At 41.2% G+C, this 22,905-nt stretch overlaps 1 long non-coding RNA gene across 1 annotated transcript in view; it reads left to right on the forward strand.

The window, feature by feature from the left end:
- LOC107984402 (uncharacterized) overlaps window positions 1–22,905 on the forward strand; it is a 37,164-nt gene that overhangs the window by 6,125 nt on the left and 8,134 nt on the right. The window contains exon 2 of the long non-coding RNA XR_007062925.1: window positions 5,771–5,839. This is a non-coding gene — a long non-coding RNA (uncharacterized LOC107984402). The remainder of the gene's footprint in view (window positions 1–5,770; window positions 5,840–22,905) is intronic.

Consider the following 22,905-nt stretch of genomic DNA (forward strand, 5'->3'; position numbering starts at 1 on the left):
TTCCCTTGACAACAGTCCGTATGCTGAAATAGTCTTTCCCATCTACTCTTAGTGCCCCTTCTTCCAGCTAAACTGCCCTGTTTTGAGTTTCAGTGCTGTCAGCTGCTTTCTGTGGTGATGGTCAGGAGTCTCACTCATTAGTCTATTTGAGGACACTTTCGTTAACATGGAGAATGCATGTCTTTTGGCATTTCAGACTCGTTGGCTTAAACAACAGAAATTAATATTCTTACAGTTCTGGGTGCTGGAAGTTCAAGATCAAGGTGCCAGCTCTTGAACTTCCAGCACAGTTCTCCTGAGGCGTCTCTTCTTGGTGTGCAAACAGCCACCTTTTTGCTGTGTCCTTACATGGCCTTTTCTCTGTGCATACGCATTCCTGATGTCTGTCTTATAATAAGGACATGGGTCATATTGGATTAGGGCCCCACTCATATGACCTCATTTAACCTTAATCACCTCCTTAAAGGCCATGTCTTCAAACACAGTTATATTGGGGATTAGGGCTTCAAGATATGAATTGGAGGGGGGCATAATTCAGTCCTTAACACCACCATAGATGGTTTTTCTCTAATAAACATATCTGCAGTCTTATCACAGAGGAGTAACTCTCCATTAGCACTTCCACAGCAAATGAGGGAGGTGTTTTGGACAGAGGCTGCTACTCCTTAATTCACATCTGTTAGGCTGCCTACAAATAAAGCTAGATATGAACAACTGAAGATTTTTGTTCCAAGTCTACATGGATGGTTAAGTACGTAATAAAATTTCCAGGATTATAACTCCTGAAGCAGCCCGGGTGGCACTTTCGGTAGGTCCAGGGAGTTACCAAAGTAATGTGCCTGTATTCCTTGGGGGCCAGTTTCATTTTATTTGACAACTTAAGTTTCCATTTTAAATATTTAATTTTAGAAAGTAGGAAGATGTATATGGACATCTATTTTGTAAGTGTGTGTGTATATTGTATATCATGTATGTAAGAAAAAACTTTCTTCTACCATGAGCTTTAAGAATTTTCTAGAAGGCTTACAGACTAGATCAGGTGCTGGAGAAAAAGGTCATGCCAGTTAGAGGCTTACATGTGGACTGCGAGGCCATGTTACTGTGACATTGAGCTGGACACCTCTGTAAGGGACTGTTTAACATCAATAATATCTAACATATAATGAACAATTACTTTGACCAGTCCTCACTATAACTCTCTATGGGGTGTTACATTCTCCCCATTTTACAGAGAGAAAACTGAGACATTTAGAAGTGACTTGCTCAAGGTCACAAGACTAGTCTGTGGGAAGGTGTGCCTGTCTGATATCAAAATCCAGACACATTTGCATCTACTTGAAGAGACAAAGCACAAACACCAGAAATAAAGACCAGAGAGTTAACCTGTGTAGTTGACTCAATGATGTTCTATTTAAAGGAACACCGGGTGATCAGTGTGAGGATAAGTTGTTGGAGAAAGTCCTGTAAAAAAGATATTACCGGAACCAAGCTTTGAAATACAGGTGGAATTTAAAGAGGAACAGTGGTGGGGAAAAGAGCATCTTCAGAACTGGAAGTAGAAATGGCAAATTGAGGGCAGGAAAGAGAAAAAAACTGGCATGCCTTTATCTGAGGGTTTAGAAGCAAAGAATGAACAGGGAGTGTGCACTCCTATTTGTTAAGATTGGCACTGGACTCAATTCAGCATGGGTAGGATTTAGAGCTGGTAAACTTTCATAGATGGTGGTTCACCCGGATCCTAGAAGTAAACTCTTGGATCAACTGGTAAGAATTTTTATATTGAAACTATATTAATTGTAAATAGCCACCGGCCTTTCTGTCTACTGAAAATAGGAATTAAGTGACAAGAAAGTGAAAGAGAAAATCGACTCTTGCATTTTGTAACTTTGCCCTCGCTTGGGTCCAGAAGGACTTGTAGGGAAGTGTTCTTATTTACAGGGGAGCTACAGTCTCAGTGAAAGTGTGAGTCAGGCAGAAAACACCTTGTACACAAGCAAACATCTTATGTTCTCACTGAGACACGTTTAATATTTTCAGTTCAGACTTTGAGACTGCTTTTATACATCTCGAATTACCTTGAAATTATTTAACCCCCATTCATAAAGTGAAAATGTATATGAATATGACCTAAGAATTAATTATTTTCCAACACAGTGTGTCCCCTTTCTTCGTGGGTTTACATGATCCACCATTTTAGTCACTTTACTGGAGATATCTGATATGTTCTTGTATTAGTTAGAGTTCTCCAGAGAAATAACCAATGGGAGATAGGTAGATAGATATAGATAGATAGATATCAATAGATAGTAGATAGATAGATAGATAGACAAATAAATAGAAAGATAGAAGATAGATAAATGAGATAGAAAATAGATTAGATAGACAGAAGATGATAAATTAGATAGAAGATAGATAGACAGATTGATTGATTGATAGATAAAGAGAAGATTTATTACAGGAATTAGCTCACACCGTTATGATGGGTGAGAAGTCCCACAATATGCTGTCTACAAGCTGGAGAACCACAAGAGCCGATGGCATAAGCTGTGGAGTCCAAAGGCCTGAGAAACAGGATCTCTGCTATCTGAGGGGAGGAGATGGATGGTTCAGCTTAAGAAGAGTGAGAGAAAATCCACTCCTCCATCTTTTTGTTCCGTTCAGGCCTCCGATGGATTGGAGAATGCCCACCCACATTGGTAAGGGCAGATCTTCCTCACTTGGTCCACTGATTCAAATGCTAATATTGTCTGGAAACAGCCTCACAGACACACCCAGAAGTAATGTTTTACCCACTGCCTGGGCACTTCTTAGATCAGTCAAGTTGAAATAAAATGGATCCTCACAGTTTCTAACCAAAGACAGCTTTTTATCTGCTTCAGGACCTTTGTCTCTGTCCTCTCTGTCTAGATTTCTCTTCTCTTGGGAGATGAAGTGATAGGAGAGAATGAAGAACTTAGATGAAAACTTTTGTCATATGGTAATTGTGACCCCCAAAAATCATTTCACTGAGGTAGTATCACAAGCACTGGGAGTGCCAGGCGAGGTGTCAGAGCCCTGGCATTGGAAAGTGGTTGACTCACAGGTTGGTTAAAAGAATCTACCGACAACAGTATAGGTTTGAAAAAGGAAAGTTTATCAGAAAGGAAGAATGTGCTGTGGAAGAGTGCAGTGGGGTGCCTCAGCCAGAGGACCCAGCGTTGACCTGGAGTTTTCCTTAGGGGTATTTATGGACCTTAAAGTGGGAACTTAGGGTTGTAAAATGAGTTTCTGCATGGCATTCCAGAGACATATAGAAATTTTAGTTACTTATAAATTGTTTTGGTGGAGGGAGTGGGAAGAAATCTGGAGTGAGATGCTTGCTTTGGATAATAGGGAAGTCTAATTATTGCTAATTTTCCCCAGATAAGGAGTTTTGCCTCTGCCTCCTCTGATGGCCTGTTTTGAGGGTCACCAGGTGGTCTTTGCTTCCTTCTAAATTCCTCAGATAAGGAGTTTTTGTCTCCAGGGTCTGTTCAATGGTCACCTGGTGATTTTTTTTTCTCCTCAGGGAGTAAGTTGCTGTTGGTAGTGAGAGCGCATTAGCGTTATTGTATTAGATGTGGGGAGGATGGACAAGCTGGGAGGGAATGCTGGATGGGAAGTTTCTAAAAATCCCAATCCCTAGGACAAATCTTCAAGGGCTGAGTGCTTAGAGATCGGTAGGCTTCGTGATGTTAGTAAGATAGAGTTGTGCAAAACCAGCATGTCCTCAACCTGCTGCTATTAAAATTAACACCAAAACCCAAATTATCCTAGCATTGTCTCCAGCAGACATTTTCTGAGCACCTCTCAATGTGCAAGGGAAGGGGAATATCAAGAAGGAAATCATAGTTCACTTTTGGAGGCTAGACCCAACTTGTGAAAAATTAACATACAAGACATGGCAATGTAGATTAAGTCCTAAACAAATCACACGAAACCCTGTGGTTCTCAAACTGTTTTGTGCATTAAAATCAACCATGAACTTGTGAAAGTACAGATCCTCAGGCCCTGTTCCTGGAAATTCTGCCTGGACCTTTGCGTTTGGGTTTTTTGACAAGCTGGAGAACTGTTAGTGAAGACAATAATGAGAGAGACAGGAGGATTACTGTAGGCTGGGAGTCAGGGACTCTCCCAGCACTAAGTACAGAGATAGAAGAGGCAAGTCATGGAGCTAAGGGTATTTCTATGGGTAGACAAATGGGGTGGAGGGAGGAGGTGGTATCCATGGGGTACATGCTTAGATGGTCTGTAGATTATTTCCATCCTGTGAGAGCAGGAAGATAAGAACGATTACATTCAAACAAGGGCCCTGATGGAGAAGGTGATGAGTTAAAGAGCAAAATGGCAGGTGGAGAAAAGTGGATGTTGGATCTTCAGTTGGGCAATTGGCTAATCAGGCCCCTCAGGAGAAAGAAAGAGCGGTGGGCGTGTTTGTGTTCCTTCCCTCTCCCTGTCTGCTCAGTAAAGTGAACAGATTTCTAGCACAATGCAGGGTTCACTTTAAACAAAACACTAAGATTAGCCAATCCACTTACCTCCCCCGAAGGAGATCATTCACCCAGAGGAAGCCTGACAAATGATCGTGTAAAATACTATGCTTTTAGAAGGTTCCTTATATCTCTCAGAGAGTCAATATAGTCCATTATGTCAGTTCCCATCCACTGGCTTCTTTCTCAGCTACTTATATTTCCATTTAATTGAAGATTAGGCAGAGCTCACCAAGGCCCAGAAAATTAAAGTTATCGGAGACTCGTTAGTTATCTCTTTTTAAGACCATCTATCTTTTTCATTCCACTCACTCTGGACCTGGCGATTTGTCTGTTGCTTCTCACTTCCTTCTGGCCCCTTCCAGTGTGAGATCCTGCCTTGATCCAATGTTTCCACTTCTGTTCTTTTGACAGTATCTTTTCCTCCACTGGCTTTCTTTCCTGTTTCTCTTTTTTGGGGGGGTGGGGAAAGGACATAGGGATTGGAGGTGGGGAAAGAGCTGGCCTGTTCTGCTTCTCTGGCACTCTCTTCCTTCACTTTTTTCTCTTATACCATCGTGTTTATAGTTTATACTCCACACACCCTTGTCATTCTAATCTTCATTAAACACCACTTGCAGAATTATAGGAGAGATGAGACAGATGAATATTGACACAGACATAAGCCAACAGTGACTTGAAAGATAAAGTTGGAGAGTGAGAAGAGACACTGGGGAGAAAGAGGATGACAAAGGCCAGTATGATAATAATAATAATAATTACTATGTATTAAGTACCTGATATGCATCATGCAGTGTGATAGCATAAGTCACTTAATCTTCACAATGCTCCTTTGATTCTCTGTTTTTTCCTTATTTTTGAAATAAGTGTGATAAGACTCAAAGTTTACCCTTATTTCTCAAGGTCGTACTGCTGGGATAAAGGGCAACTGGAATTCAAGCTCAGTCTGTTTTTCTCCTCTACATCTTGGAGAAGTAGGCAGGCAACTGATTTTAGATTTAAGCTCAAGATATATTTTTAAAAGAAAGTTCCCTAGATGCAAGTATTTGAACGTGTAGATAATTTAAACATCCATATACACTTCGTATTTTAACAGCACACTTTTGAACTGCACAAGTTCACTTACATGTGGACTTTTTTCAATGTAAGTTATATTCAGTGTGCTTGCCTCTCCTGCCCTTCCTTCCATGTCCTCCACCTCCTGTGCTTCGGCCACTCTTAAGACAGCAAGACCAACCCCAACTCTTCCTCTTCCTCCTCAGCCTACTCAGCATGAAACTATGAGTATAAAAACCTTTATGATGACCTACCTCCACTTGGATCAATGAAGAGTAAGTACATTTTTTTCTTCCTTATGACTTTCTTAATAACATTTTTCCTTAGCTTACTTTAATTGTAAGAATACAGTATATAATACATATAACATACAAAATACGTGTTAATCGGCTATTTATGTGATTAGTAAGGCTTCCATTCAGCAGCAGGCTATTAGTAGTTGAGTTTTGAGGGAGTCAAAATTACATGTTGGATTTTCGACGGAGCATTAGTGTTAGTGAGCCACACTAATTCCCATATTGTTCAAGGGTCAACTGTACTCAAACATACACACATGCACAAATCCACAAATCAAGTGTAAGTTATTTATTTGGTTTGGTGATATTATTTCATCTTGTCTTACAATCTTTAGAGTTGGGAGGGACCACAGGATTCTTCAAGTCCAGTGTCATGAACCTCTGGTACACTCTCTACCTATGCTTAAGTATTTTCAAGAAAGGGGAACTCCTTACCACAAAGGCAGTCTGGTCCATTGTTGGACAGCTCAGATGTTTATATAATTATTTCTCCTACGATGCTGTGAGGATTATCTCAGAGTCGTCCAACTATTTTTGCCCTCTAAAGTTACGTAGAATACATCAAATCTTTCTTTTACAGGATAGCTCTTCGCATGTGTAAATAAGAATTCACACACACACACACACACACAGCCTAAAGTCTCCTCTTCTCCAGCTAAGCACTTCTAGTTGTTGCAATTATGACTCATTTGACATAGTTTTCATCTTGTTTATTGTCCTCTTGACCAACATTGGTCATAAAACTGAGTGTAGAACTCAGCATATGGTCAGACCAGCACAACCTAAAGAGAGATGTTCCCCTCCTCTTACGGACACCAGGCTTTTGTTGAGACAGCCTAGTTTCCATCAATACTCTGAAAGCTAAGAAATATTCACAGGTAACTAAGACCTAAAGTTCTTCAATTTAAGTTCAGGACTTTAAAAGTATCCCTGTTTAAATTTAATCTTTTTAGCTTGGCCCTCCTACTGTGTTGCCAAGATCTTTCTAGATTCTTCTAGACTGTGATTCTTTCCCACCAGCTATCCTCCCTGGCTTTGTATCATCTACAGTTTGTAACCATATTTTGATTTTTGTTCATAATATATTGTTAAATGTAAATAAGTTAAAAACTGTATTATGGTGTGAACTTGTTTATTTAAAATGACAATTATTTGAACAAAAATGATTCTAAATAGACATATACCAAAATAGTAACAGTCCTTATCTCTGAGATATTGAATAACTTACGATTTATAATTTAGATATTAAAATTTTTAAAAATTTTGGCTGTATGTAGTTTTCTGATTTAATAAATGGCTTTGGTGATTTTACATATTAATATACCCAAATCAAAATCTATCATTTGAAAAGAAATTTTTCTACCTGAAAAGTCTGGTTTATTCCATATATTTTGTTTTGTATCTGTAGTATCTTTGTTTTTTTCCTAATTGCCATGAATTTCTGGACTCCTGCATTTGATTCAAAGCTCCTTGAAGACAGGGAACTGTGCTTTCATTATCCCTCATGGCAGCTGGCACTGTGCTGAATTGATTGCTTCGCTTTTCAATTAACTTGTCCTTCATGCAGCACTGAATTCATGGCCTTTGTCTGACTTGATCTCTTGTTTATATCAATACCTTAAAATGATGGGTACGTGATGTTTCATCTATGATCTGCACTTAAACAAATTAAGCTAATTCATTTACTGGTGAGTAATTATTCACTGTGTTAACAAATCTATTTACCCAATTGAAAGAAGTGAAATGAAGACTCTTAACATCATTCCCACTCTGAGACATGGGTTATGGATCAGAGTGGAAGAGGAGGAAGATTTAGAAGCTGGAGTTAAAAACTGGTTGGAGCCTGCTAGTCTCATCTGAGAGCTCTCTGCCTAGCCCAAGTCCAGGTGTGGGCTTTCTCTCCTGGGGCCAGTCCTAGAGAGGAGGATGGGGTGGAGGGAGGGACAGAGTAGGTGGAAGAGATCTAAGGATGTTAACTGGAGCTAGATTCTCCAGCTTTCTAGTGCCATGCGCCTTTCACCAGCCTTCCTATGCCTTAGTCTACTATAAAGGACAGAGACCTGGGTCCCATCTATGCAGGTCCAAGTGACAGGGCAACTGCTTTCCCTATGCAGCTGAGGCTGGGTCTGGAAGAAAAAGGTCATTTTGATAGTTACTATCCCTCCCTTTGGCGGTCCCACCTGAGTTCTAGGTGAGACTGCCAGGGCTCTAATTAAACCAGAACCAGAGCTCTTATCTTGTCCTTAAGTTCTGCCTGTGTTACCAAGTGGTAGCAAAAGATAATGTCCTCTGCTATGGCCCATTGTGGATGTACAGCATGATTTAGATTTAGATTTAAGTGAAGCGAACTTAAGAAATTAGTGACTCCTGATAACAAATCTCTACATATATGACATCATGAAGAAACCATTTCTTTGAAAATTTTAAAAAGAATGTGACCTAAACATTAATCTGCAGGGAACTAGCAGATGAATGAAAATCTATTCACGCATCCATCCAACACAGGAAAAGCTATGGAGTCACAGCTTGAAAGAAGGTGTGATGGTCAGAAGTGTCTGTTCTACATAGTATTCCAAGGACATTTGCTACACAAATGGGGGATATCCAATTTCAAGGCTATCAGGTCAATAGTGGCAAGATTAATTGCTTTATCCTTTAGGACAAGCTTGTCCAACCCACAGCCCATGGACCACATGCAGCCCAGGATGGCTTTGAATGCAGCCCAACACCAATTCATAAACTTTCTTAAAACATTATGTGTTTCTTTTGTGATTTTTTTTCTCATCAGCTATTGTTAGTGTATTTTATGTATGGCCCAAGACAATTCTTCTTCCAGTGTGGCCCAGGGAAGACAAAAGATTGGACACTCCTGCTCTAGGGCATAGGTCAACACCAAAGACCCTTGTGACCATACCCCAGCACCCAGCTCCACTCACCTGAGGATGTGACATGGGACAGAATGAGAAGGAGGGAGGCAATACCCATGAAAAATCCTACAGCTCAAGATTCTTATTCTGATAGTGTTTAACTCCCAATGTGAACTTGAAAAGTCAGTTATACTAGGTCTCAGCATATCCATCTGTGTAGAATGGGATTGCCTTTACATCAGAATGTTAAAAGGCCTAGAGAGAAGGCTCTGGGAAGAGGGATCTGTTTGGGAAAGAGCTGAGTTCTGCTTGTGTTGTAGCTTTTCTGCAGTTATTACTCACCATGGTATCCCTAGAACTTAGCAGAGTGAATGGCACTTAGTAGGCACTCAGTATGCATCAAATTTTTTAAAAAACGAACGGATTGAGGCTTCTGCACTCATTCAATCTCTCAAAGGCCATGTAAGAGTTTTTCAAAGCTGGGAGAATAACTATATTTCTTTTGTGCCTCCCAACTTTCTTTCCCAGCACTTAGTTTACAAACATCTTGGCTTGGGCCAAAGTCTGTAACACATCCTTTGCCTGTCCCACTTCTCTGCAGTTGGCTGTGAAGTGGGAGTTGTGTGTGGTTGGCTTAAGACCCTGAGTCATACCCAGGGTCCATGGTGAGCAGTGGCATGGACAGTCACCCAGGCACTGGCCTTATATACTCGGGAAGCTCATGCCTTTTTCCACAGAGCTCAGAAGTGAATGATTAGATGAATGAGTAAATGAAAGAATCAATATTATTCTTACTGACAAAATACACGCTTGCTTATGACAACTTTGGTAAAGGATTCTAAGACTTCTGTTACTAAAACATTCTCTACCATGCCCTCCTACTGCCTGTGATCACAACAGAAGAAAGGAACCATTGAATGACAAAATCCTATGAGATGTTGATTTTAGATGGCAAAAGATTGGAGAAAGTTATTCTAGGTGGGAAAAACAACAACAAAGGCGTAAAGGTAAGGAAAGGACATGTTTGTGTGAAGGATAGGAGACCAGTTTGACTGAAGCCCTTAGTGTGGTTGGAAACCATAAGAAGAAAGGTTGTATAGGGAATGACGTTGATTGATGGAGGATCTTCAACATTAGAAATTCAGGATATGCCATTTACTTTTGTATCTTCAGTGCTTTGCCCAGAACATGACAGAATAGGAGCTTCATAAATGTTTACTGAATGAGTGAATGAATAACTGAGTGGATGGATGAATAAATGGATAAATGAGTAAATTTAATGGGAGAGAACACGTTTAAGCTGAAACCAGTGAGCCTGGAAGAATGGGAAGGAGAGAAATGGGAAGTTTAGGCACAGTAAGTTGAGATAATGGTAGAATCTTTGCATAGAAATTTCCCATAGGAAGCTATTTGGAATTAAGAAGAGAGCAGAGAGTTCCTAGGTTTGGAAATGTGTGAATCATTATTGCAATGGTAGTTGAAACCATGAGCCTGGATAAACTCTTGAGGGCAGGTAATGTAAAAGCTGAAGAGCAGAAAGAAAGGACTGAGCAGGGGTTTACACTTTCAGCAGTGGTGGAAAAATAAGTTAGAGGAGAAACCACAGAGTTTGGGAAACCAGGAAAACAATGTCGAAGAATTCTAGATAGAGAAATATTTTTTTTTAAAGAAGTTTGAAGGGTGACTGTGAAACAAGGTGGCAAAGCTCAGAGGCTGAGTTTGTGGAAAAGGATGTTTCCTAATTAATCGCGGACAGTAAAGGCAGGTAGAGGCAGGGTTGGCATCTGCTGGCAAACCAGCAGAATACAGGACATTGGCATCTGGGGCCGAGGAGATTGCTCTGAGTATGGGAAAGCATCTGCAAAGCTGAAGTTTGAAGCCCCATGCCTGGAATAGAAGTGTTCTTGGAGAAGCTGAACAGATGCAAAGAAATGAAGAAATGCAGAAGTAACTCATTCTTGGGGCAAAGATTATAAAGGAGGTTTAGGCCAGGCCTAAGAATCTCACATCTTAGCAATTCTTTCAAGCTGTATCACTCTCAGCTCTCATGCAGTATAAGCAGCCAAGTCAATTAACAGAGAGCTCAAGACACCATCTAGAAAGGAAATCACTAAAAACAATAAAAATTTAAAAATAGGAAGTCAGGATCTCTATTTGCTAGATCAATGGCTATAAAAATCTGAGGGAGACTGAAACCTCTTGGCTCTCGTTATCTTTTTCCTGGGATGGTGCTCCCTTTGGAGCAAGAGTAGCAGAGGCCGAGCCAAGGAGACGATGCCCTGGCCCTCTGCCAGCCTTGGATAGAGGTATGTTTTAAAAAGGGAGGAAAGAGACAGCTGACAGCCTCTGAGGCCTGCAGGAAGAAAAGAAGGAACCATGTGTAGGAATCAGTCCAGGACTGAAAAAGCTGCCTGAAGGCGTAGCCATCTGCCCTTGCATATGAGACCCGGGGAAAAGTCGATGCCGGGTTACACCAGTAGCTAACCACAAGGCTTCAGAGTCCTACAGACCCAGAGCCAAACTGTGCCTTTTCCACTCACCCGCTGTGCCCTCTTGGACAAATTGCTTAATCCTGAGTTTCTCACCTATAAAATAACAATAATAAAAACAAGAGCAACAATAATAATAGAATCTACCTTTCAGACTTCTTGTGAGGATTAAATAAAATAATTTGCCGGGTTCAGGACTCAGCACTCAAAAAATGGTAGTTTTTAGAAAAGTAGGTTCTTAAAAGGAACATTAACTCTTTGGATCCTGTAGTCCTATTGGATAACAGTGGCTCCAGCACCCATTTACCTAAGTCCTGGCCTTCCAGGCTGCTAAACAGACCCTGGGCACTAGAATATTCTCTGTGCCAGGTCACAAGAAGGGTATGTCAGTAGTTTTCCAGGATGGTAGGCAATCTATGGGGTGCCATTTAAAGCCAAGAAACTCAAATGAGACCCAAAGGAGAGAAATCCGCTAATGAGTCCATCAAGATAAAGAGGTAAGAGTGTCAGCTTCTGACCATCTGTTTTGTTCTGGCAGCACATGCTGTCCAGACCCTACTCCCTGCGCCTCATCCAAAACTTGCCAATGCCATTGATTTGTATTAATCTGATTGAGCATTCATTACCCCAAGTACCAACCTGTCACTGTTTGCTTAGCTTGCATGAAATCAGAGCTACACAAAAATCAATGTGTGAAATCTTTGTATCAACATATAAGAAATAAAAAGGTTTATGCTGGCAGATGCAGGTTTTTAGACAGATTAAAACTGACAAATTGGCACGATCCACAATGAAGGCAATGATGAGGTGCAGTGAAATGTCAAAGGTTTTGAAAATGGCATGCTGAGGAAGACATGCATTATTGTCAGGGGGAAAAAAGGAAAAAGAGAGGGTTGTTTATAATAAAAAGCATTTGGATTTGCACAAAGGCGGATGACTTTTTTGAAGAAATAACTTGCAGTCAGTAAGGCTGGTGCAGTGTGATTGTTCTCCAAGAAACCAACAAGAAAAGACAAGGGGTTAATGCTTGAGCAAGGTCACAGTGTGCAGTAACAGTGCCAGGACAGAATGGAGGAGGCTGGACGCTTACTTCCGCCAATCACTGAACCCTCTGACACTCAGAGGGAGAGACTCTCACCTCTTGCCCTCCACATTGACTTCTCCTTCTCAGGGAACACTTCCCTTTCAAACAATCACAAACCCCTGACAGAATTCTAAAGCAGACTGATCAGAGCAGACATCTGTATGTTTTGCACAATTAACTGTGTGTTCTGCACTTTAATTTATAAGACACTCATGCATTGGAGCAAAATATCTTAGCTTATATTGCAAAAACATCTTTATTAAGGGTGATGGCCAACTTAATAAAAAAGAAAAATTCACTTCTATTTGTGACACATTCGGTATTATACATATTTATATACATAGCACCATAGCACTCTATAACTGTGACCAAAAAAATTTCTTTTAATTTTCAGTCCCCATGTCTCACAGCATACTTTTGGACCATCTGCTTTCAACACCACTGGGTTGTATATGCTTCAGGAATGCAAACTCTCTTTTTAAAAAACAGTAGCTAGGAAAGGTAAATATGCTGCTGCGGAAGGAAAAAAGAATCCTCTCCAAACAACTCAAAAAACATTGTTAATATACATGTGCACCAAAACCAAAGGAAATCATTTTTTGGCAAATATGGAGAATGACGTAGTGGAAAGAGACTAAGCATTGGAATCAGACTTGAATATGAATCTTGTCCCTACCACTCATTGGTTCGGTTTGAGGTTTTTATCAATTTTCTAGACCTTCTCCTGGACACTGTAAAATAGAAGCAAGACTGTGTGGGAGTTTTATGAAGATTACATGAGAAAGGGAATGTGAAAGTTCCTAACATCATGCCTAAAACATAGTAGACTTTCTTTCTTTTTTCTTTTTTTTCTTTGAGACGGAGTCTCGCTCTGTTGCCCGGGCTGGAGTGCAGTGGTTCACTCTCGGCTCACTGCAACCTCCGCCTCCTGGGTTAAAGCGATTCTCCTGCCTCAGCCTCCCAAGTAGCGGGAATTACAGGCACACACCACCATGCTCAGCTACTTTTTTGCATTTTTAGTAGAGACGGGGTTTCACCATATTGGCCAGGCTGGTCTCAAACTCCTGACCTCAGGTGATCCATCTGCCTCGGCCTCCCAAAGTGCTGGGATTACAGGTGTGAGCCACCATGCCTGGCCACATAGTAGACTTTCAATGCAGGTTTGGTCTCCATCAGATCATTTGTCATTAAGGGGGACCATCTGCATCACCATCTCCCCCGATTAGAGTGGATACTATAGAAACGCAGTGATTAGTACTTTGTTATGTGGTTGTAAATAGATGCACAAATATTTTCCAACTCTAAAATTTTTACTCCTCAGAGCAATAGAGACACAATCAAGTAAATAAAATTGACTTTTGTTACTATTTGGCCAGGATTCTTCTGTATGTGTGTTGGTTGAAGCACCCAGTGAATCTTCTCCCATTGGGCCTTTTTGTTCAGGTTATCTCTTGCTGCATTAAAAACCACCCTAAAACCTAGGCACGTAAAACAACGATCATTTATTTTGTTCACAAATTTGCAATTTGGGCAGGGCTCTATCTGGAAGGCTTATCCCTGTTCCATGTTGCATCACGTGGAGAAGTTCCCTAAGTGTTGGAGGATTCACTTCAGGATGACTCACTCACATCTGGTAAGCTAGTGCGCCATGTTGGCAGGCAGCTTAGCAGGGGCCAGTGGCTATGCGCTCCCATTTCTTTTCATGTTGGTCTCCCTAGGTGGCCTGGTCTTTCTCACAGCATAATGGCTTACAAGGGCAAGCATCCTGAGACAGAGAGAACCAGGTGGAAGCTGTATCCCAGTTTACGACAATCATATAGCATCACTTCTGTCATACTCTGTTAGCTGAGGTATTCACAAAGGCCTGCCCAGGTCAATGAGAGGGGACATAGGCTCCACCTCTTGAAGGGGACTGACAAGCGTCTGGAAGAGCACGTGTGATGAGAAATATCACTGTGGCCGTTTTAGGAAAATACAATCTTCTGTACCTTTTTTTTTCTGGTCTTTTGATTGCCATCTAGTTCAAACCTTTATTACAAACTTGCCAGGGTTAGGACCTATTCTTCCTTTTTATTTGCTTTTCCATTCAGTCTTCTCTTATTCCCTTCCACACTGAATTCCACTCTGAGCAGGAAGGACAATTCTGATTATTTCTCTGCTCCCATCCCCATTCTAAAACCTTCTTTGACTGCCCATTGCCTATGGAATGACCTTCAAATCTCTTGACGTGATACTCAGTGATTCCATGTCTTCATTATCTGAAACCAACTCTGCAACCCTAGCTCATTCTAGTCTAACACACAGATCCTAATGTCTCAGAGGAATTAGACTATAGTTCATTTCCCTGAGGCAACCTTGTGAAGTAAAAAAACTGTGGACTTGTAGACTTTGGAGTGAGTCAGACCTGGTTTCCAATCCAAGTACTGCTACTAAACCTTTGTAAAGTGAGTTTAATAATACTTATCTTGGGGATTGCTGTGAGGATTAAATAAAACAATGTATGTAAAGTGACTAGCATAGAGTAGATTTTAAATAAATATGATTTTCTTTCTCCCTTTCCATTTTCCCTTTGCTTATCTAATTTCAGCACCTGTTTTTGAGGAGTGTCCTTCCAAAGCAGGTTATGAACTGGGTCTCCCAGACCAGTGTTTCCCTCTGCATTGCCAGCAATCCAGGCAGGAGGAACATTCAGGGCAGCGTAGCCTGTGGAACTACCTGGCTCCATTCCACTAGTCACAGAAACCCACATTGTGAGTTGGCAGCACCAAGGCACAGGATGGACATCCCACAGTCCTTCAGCCTGGGCGCCTTAAATGGCTTGTCATACACCAACAGAAACTGATTCCTGATTTACATGCCTTTGGAAATAGTTGTGGCATTGTGGTTCATGTTCCACAAATCCACACTGGATTGGGCAGATGTCCAAAGCAGTGTTGCCACAATCCCTAAGAGCCTCCAGTAATTTCCTTCTTGAGTTCCTCACTCTTTGGAGCCTGTTTAGAAGTCTCCAATCAGTTAGGGCATTTTTTGGCTACTTCTAACGTTTTGCCTACTCAATTCACTTATTAATTCTGTTAAATGTATACCTTTCAAATTAGATTTGCATTTAGTAGATGATTTACTTAATCAATCAATGGGAAAGTTCCAAGAATTGCAATATCCCTATTTCCAATAATTTGTAGAATCTTAAAGAGGTCATCCCTCTCATCTGTATCAGAAGCAGCACATCTATGGCAAGCAAGCCAGCTCATTAGACTTAACCTTTTAAGGAGTTATCCACACTAAGAATAGCTCAACATTACAGCACACTCCCTTTTTAATGGAGTTATACTGAAGCTGTTCCTCATTCTAGGATAGAATTTGCTTTAACGTTGGCATCTCCCCATATATCCTGTAAGCCAGCCGTCCACAGCCTCGCCTATGATGTACTGCTTTTACACTGTTCCAGAAAGTGACTTAAAAATCTGAAAATCTGCAGACAGGCAGTGTTGGGAACCCCCATGCAGAGATTAAACTAGCCTCCCTACGCGAGACTGAGGGCAAAGAAATAATCCGCTTCTTGTCCTCTCCCCTAAGCCCCAATCTTGCTTTCAAATTCCTATTGCACTTTCACTTCCTCAATGAAACCTTTCCCAATTTAACTCCATTCAGTTTCATTGCTCTATTCACTCCCTAACATGAATAGTTATTATTTAAAAATTTATTTAGCTCTTCTATCTGTCAGATCCTGTGCTAAGCACTTTATATTAATTATCTCATTTACTTCTCAAAATAACCCTGTGAAAAAGATATTATTTTCGTTTCATACATGAGGAAACTGAAGCTCAGAGGTTAGTGAATCTGTCTGGTGTCACACAGCCTGTGTTAGAGCCAGGACTGTAAGTCAGGTCGCTCTGTCTCTAGAACCTCCCTTAACTATCCTAAAATGCTACCTATCCCACGAGGCTTTCTTGCTGTTCTCCTAACCAACCCCAACTGATTCCACAGTTCTTGTGACTGAAGAGTTTAACACTCATTTCCTTGTGTATCTGCCTCTCTAGTTTGTTAGACTAAGAATCACAAAGGCAAGACATCCATGGTCCAGAACTTTACTCTGGTGTAGTGGAAAGAGTGCTGAACTTAAAAGTATCATAATTTGAAGGCCAACTCTTGGCTTCTGTTCTTCTTATCTGCGTGAACTTTGGTTGAGCCAATCTTGCTGGACCCATTTCCTTATCTTTAAAATGATGGCTATAAGGCCTATCTTGGAAATTCTGTGGGCACAAATGTTAGGTAAAGCACTGCAAAAATGTAGAACATTCTTTTATATCATCTCTCAAAGCCCCTTAGAGAGAGTTTTGTTTTCAGAGGGTGATAAGTCACTTGTGGTAATTTTAGAAGCTTGGGAAAATAGTGCTCCAAGTAGATACCTGGTGCAGCAGCAAAGTGACTGTTCAAAGGAGCCTGAAGATCTGGCCTGGGTTCCTGCTGGGTGACGGACGAGGAGCCAAGCAACAGATTCCCAGAGCCATTTCCTTTGCTGAACAATGGGAAAGTGGAATGATGTGACTGGCAAGGTGCCAGGCAGCTGTTCTTCCAATCCTTGGAGGATAGCAATGGTCTCACATTGCAGGGAGAGGGATTGAAGTTAAACCTGAGGAAGTTATTTCCTGAGTATAGGCACTGTGAGGCTCTGGAATGCAAGGTTAAAGAAGGCCGGAATGCCCTTCTTTGAGAATGCTGAAAAAAGAACAAAAACCCAATCTCTTTGAATGTTGCATTGCCTGGAGGCAGAAGAATGGATTCATTCCTTTTGGACTAAGGCATCAATATTGAGAAATAAGATCTGCTTCTTGTGTCATCTCACTTGGCATAATAGGAAACTTCTTTTCAATCCTTGTAAGAAGTGACACATGTATCCCCTACTCTAGTAATTATCTCCACACCTCTTCCCTTCCCCAAACATCTGGTCCAGCTCTCTGTTGACATCAGTTCATTCAAGTGGGCTGACTTCTTGTCCATAAGTTCTTCAGGAAGTACATGCCCCTAGGAGCAAGAGCCCAATGCCTAAGAAAGCTTCAAGAGTCCAAATAGACCATGGAATGCACCATGCAAGTGCGGCAGAAGATACCTTCCCAAGACTGTTTTTATAGGCAACATCTACCTGTGGGTTTTACTTTGCAATTGCAACCTTAAGTGCTCCACCCATCAATCATCGACCACAAATACATAGCATTGGCTTTGTGAGCAAGAATGCACAAACCCTTTCCCTTTATTGTCTCCTTCCTGCCAACAGAGAAAACACTTAATTAAAAGTCATTGGGAATTCCTCCAAACAAAAGAGAAATGAAGCTTTTGAAAGGTGCAACATGTGTGAGGCCTGGACCCATAAAATCATTAACCTTCAGAAACCTAGGAGTTGCCAACACAATGCTGAGGAGTGTGGTGTTTCCATTGCACAATGTCAATGAGCACGTCAAGGAAATATTCAGCCACATAAACGAGCTTGCAAGGCTGTCCCACTTCTTTTCAGTGTTCCTAACCTTCTCAGTGTCCCTGAGACACAGTTGCTCCAGGTGGATACTTCTTACAATTTGAGATAAAATTCTCACTTTCCAAGGCTTGAATTTTTCACCACAAAAACAGAATAATTTAATTGTTGTTTTAGTACGTGGACCAGCACCATTTGCATGGTCCTCAAAAACAGCATTAAAGTAAAGATTCTTAGCTTGAGATCTATGGGTCAGTTTCAGGAGTTTTTGAACCTATTAAAATTACATTGAAAATATGTTTATGTGCTTGTTTCTGGAGAAGATGGTCTAAAGCTTTCTTTATATTCTCTTGATGGGCAGGTGGTGATGGTTGGGTTAGTAATTTTAGAATGTAAACAACTACTGCATTCAAGGCAAATGCCCTTCAGTTACTCCTCTACCAACAAAGAGTCCCTGGCACATGGCACATAGATCTCCCACCATTGATTTGCTGAAGGAGGTCCTTCTTCTTTATGGTAATATCTAAGCAGAGGCAGTAGCATTACACATCAGGCAAGCCACGGGGATTTGTCATCAGAAGCAGCAGACATAGAGAGATGCTAGTCTAGATGATCTCTGGATCTCTTCACTCTGAGGTCCTAGGTAGGTCCAGTAAACTGTGACCCAGAAATGGAGCTTTGGATCACATAATGGGCATTTTATTTTTGCTTTTCTTTTAAGGGAATATGTAGTTCTCATGCCTTTCTGGTCTTCAGGAGACTGAATCTGACGAGCAGAGTAAGAATGGAGTGTTTTGGCTACAGACGCCTTTTACCTGGGGGTGTTTGGGTCAGGGGATGTCGGAAGTGGATGGTTAGACAGGGTGCCCAAGGCCAAGCAAATGGCCTTTGAAAGTTCAGGTGATGCTCATGGGACACCTGTGGGCAGGAAATTGCCTGTGATCTAATTGTGTTTGGAAAGGCCATACATGACTTTTCTTTTTTAGCATCATCAGGAATCACTTTTAATATTTTAAGTTTAATTTTTATTGAGACGGAATCTCCCTCTGTCGCCCAGGCTGGAGTACAGAGGCGTGATCTGGTCTCACTGCAACCTCCAACACCCAGGTTCAAGCGATTCTCATGCCTCAACCTCCCGAGTAGCTGGGACTACAGGCCATGCCACCATGCCCGGTTGATTTTTTTTTTTTTTTTGTATTTTTAATAGAGATGGAGTTTTGCCATGTTGGCCAGGCTGGTCTTGAACTCCTGACCTCAGGTGATTGGCCCACCTTGGCCTCCCAAAGAGCTGGGATTACAGGCTTGAGCCACCATGCCAGGGCCAGGAATCACTTTTAAGAGTTGATGGTTCTGTTGTCTTTTCATTATATGGTGCTAAGAATTAATTTGGTTGTAGTCTCCACTAGCAACTTCTTGCCCTTGGGTTCAGTAGGAACAAGATCTTCCAAAACAAAATCGACACTAACAAGGTATCATAACGTGGTTACTCAATCTGGATCCAAACCTCCCTCACCTTCTGGGTTCCTAGGTCTGAGCATGAAGGGGGCAGGGTACCCAAGTAATGACTGAATCATCAGCACAGCCCAGCAACCACAGGCAGAGATCAGTGGAAAGTTACAACAAACCCCTGTTGCTCAGTAGAAGAAACAAAAAAAGCCTAGCATGAGAGAGACATAAGGTGGAGTAACTTAATTATTAATTAGCTAATTTGTTCAAAAAATGTTAATGTCCTTACCATGTAGATAGCTCTGCAGCACGGCATGAGCCACTGTGGGAGAATCTGTCCTCAAGGAACTTGTAAGCCCCTTACATAAGCCATAAGACTTTGAAAGCTGAAGTGCAAAGAACCCAATTAGCTAACTACGTACAGACAGTAACTGCTGTGGGAATTTAGAGAAGGGAAAGATCTATGGGGACAAGAAATGCATTATGGAAGTAGTGAGAATCTGAGTGAATTTAGAACATGAGTAAAATTGGGTGGAGATAGGTGGTAGGAGAATTCCAAGTTTGGAGGGAAAAGATGGAGTACAGTTGTAGAATAAGAAAGTTATCAGGTGTTACTGATCTATCATGAGTTAACATGAAGCTATTATGAAAGACCTAAATGTCGTGTAAAAGGGTTTAGATTTCATCTTTTAGACAGCAGCTTTTAAAACTTTTTATTACAGGCTCATGCCTGTAATCCCAGTACTTTGGGAGGTTAAGGCGGGAGGATCCTTTGAGTCAGGAGTTTGAGACCAGACTGGGCAACGTGGTGAGACATCATCTCTACAAAAAATACAAAAAAATAGCCGGGCATGGTGGTGCATGCTTGTGGTTCCAGCTACTTGGGAGGCTGAGGTGGGAGGATCACTTGAGCTCAGGAGGTGGAGGTTGCAGTGAGCTGAGATTGTGCCACTGCACTCAAGCCTGGGCAACAGAGTATGTCCTTGTCTCAAAAAAAAAAGTAAAAAGAAAAATAAAAGGTTTAATGTAAGTAACACTTTAAAATATTTTTTCTTCCTTGTTTCCCCTCTTCCTCCCTTTCTTTCCTTCCTTCTTTTTACATTTCTAGATTTAATTTTTATATTGTACACAATTAGGATTATGTACATGTCCTTCACAGTTGAGCCATGTGGTGTACTGGGATTACATTTTCCTTTTACAATATGTTGTTTTCCCTGGAATTAATAATTATACTACTTAAAATTCACTTTTGATGTAGTCACCACTAATTTACCCCCAGACTTTGCTTAGTGGCTAAATCTCCTCTTAGTACTTTTGTTCATTCAAACACCTCGGGGACTCTGTTTCATGTTTTCCTGGAGGACTTCTGGAGCCCTCTAGGTCTCTGCTCCAATCTTAGCTGGATTCTCATGGACCTATTACATAGTGTCTTTCTAACATTTTCCCTGAGTCTTCTGGAAATTCCTTTCACCCCACCCCTGGGTTGGATTTCCTGTTTCTTGGATCTTGCATTTCTTATTTATGTGTTCATTTTGGTGGGGCACACCCTCCAGTATTTTAAGAATGAGTGCAGAGAAACTGCATTTTTGAGACCTTAGTTGTCTGAAAAAATATCTTTGCTCTATTTTGACCTTTTATTGATAGCAAGTGTAGAATTTTTTATTGTAAATTACTTTTCCTTGGAAATTTGAAGATATGTTTCTGATGTCTTTTAACTTCCAGTGTTGCTGTGAAAAGTCCTATGCTATTTAGACCCACCATCCTTTATAGCTTCCTCATTCTGTTTCTGTGGAAGCTTGTAGGATGTTCTCTTACAATTTTGTTGGACATTTACAGCCATTCCTGTCTGGAGACTTGGGTCTTTTTGTTCTGGAAGTTTTTCTTGCACGAATTCTTTGATAATTTTTGCCTTCATCTTTTCCATTCTCTCTTTCTAGAACTCCTCTGATTCACATGCTAGATGATCATGAATCCTTTAATTTTCTTAGGTTTTCTAGTTTCCATCTTTATCTTTTGTCCCACCTTGCAATATACTTCACCTTTGTTTTCCAATTTGTATATTGAATATTTTGTCTCTGCTATCTTCTTTAATCTTTCTGAAGGTCATACTTACAGTTTTCTTTCTCCTCCTCCTCCTCTTCCTTTTCCCACCCCTCCTTTTACTACTCCTAGGATTGCTCTTCTTTCCTCTGAGTTTTTTGGTCCCACTGATTTGTTTTGGTCCCTGACTTTTCAGATGTGGCTTCTCTTCAGTATATGGTGACCTTTTTTTTTTTTTTTTTTTTTTTTTTTTGAGACGGAGTCTCGTTCTGTCGCCCAGGCGGGAGTGCTGTGGCGCGATCTCGGCTCACTGCAAGCTCCGCCTTCCGGGTTCACGCCATTCTCCTGCCTCAGCCTCCCGAGTAGCTGGGACTACAGGCGCCCGCCACTGCGCCCGGCTAATTTTTTTGTATTTTTAGTAGAGACGGGGTTTCACCATGGTCTCGATCTCCTGACCTCGTGATCCGCCCGCCTCGGCCTCCCAAAGTGCTGGGATTACAGGCGTGAGCCACCGCGCCCGGCCATATAGTGACCCTTATCTCTTCCTATTTAGGAGATCAGCACTGAAAAATCATATTGGCAATTCCTTGTACATAGGAGAGGCTTGTCTAAGGGTGAGCCTCACTGTAGGTTAATACATGTGGGAAACACAGTGGTAAAAATCTTTAAGTCTTTTTTTCATGGGCTTTTGTTCCATGGGTAAGTTGGTTTTTTTCCTCTGTCAGAGGGAAATTCAGCAATTTCTTAATTGGTGTGGGGAAGGGGCACAGGCCAGATCTATCAGAGTTCATGAATAGGAAAAGGGACCCCGAGATATCACTGCTCCGTGCGTAGATTTTTATTTACTTCTCTTTGTTTTCAGTAACACATTCCCATCATCAGTGTGCCTGCTGATCCATGTCTAGAGTCCTCCTGGTTCATCTTGTCCGAGAGAATAAAACTCCCGTCTTCTGCCAGTGTGGGGAAGGGGCAGCTACTGCTTCTCATACACCCTTTTAACTCATTTTCATTTTACAACCTAACTTCTCTCCTGATTTTAGAGGCATTTGGTGTTTCCAATTCCTAAGCCACAATGAAGTTCTTTGATAAAAAATCACTTCAACGAAGTCAATAGCTGCTCCCCATTGGCTTTCCAGCTTCTACATTTTTGAGGTTGTGTCTCTATTTCTAGTCTTTTAAAGATCTGTTTCCTTTCTATCCTTCTGCTGGTGTGTGTGTGTGTGTGTGTGTGTGTGTGTGTAACTTCAAGAGGGAACAGAAGTAAACATAATGTTTTATTCCATCACTTAGAACCAGAACTCAGGACAACTTCTATCAATAAAAGAAGCTGCTCATCTGAAAGACAGCAGCACATCCATGTGCCAGGCATGCTCTTCTTTCAGTCCATAGTTAAGTTGAGGTGTACATATATGAACCTGTGTACTTGTGTTATACTCACCAGAACTCCACAGCATCACAAGCTGGGACAACATCCTCACACTGTGGTAAGGAATTATGAACCGCTGAAGGTTTTTGAAAAGGAGACATGAGAAAAGCAGGGGCTTTAGAAAATGGATCTTCAGAAAGTAGGGTAAATGATAAATTGGATATAAGAAAGTCTAAAGAGAAAGAGGCAAGCATAGAAGCATTTTCAATAGCTGGGCATAAGA

The sequence above is a fragment of the Homo sapiens genome, chromosome 11, assembly GCF_000001405.40.
Source record: "Homo sapiens chromosome 11, GRCh38.p14 Primary Assembly".
NCBI classification, from domain to species: domain Eukaryota; kingdom Metazoa; phylum Chordata; class Mammalia; order Primates; family Hominidae; genus Homo; species Homo sapiens.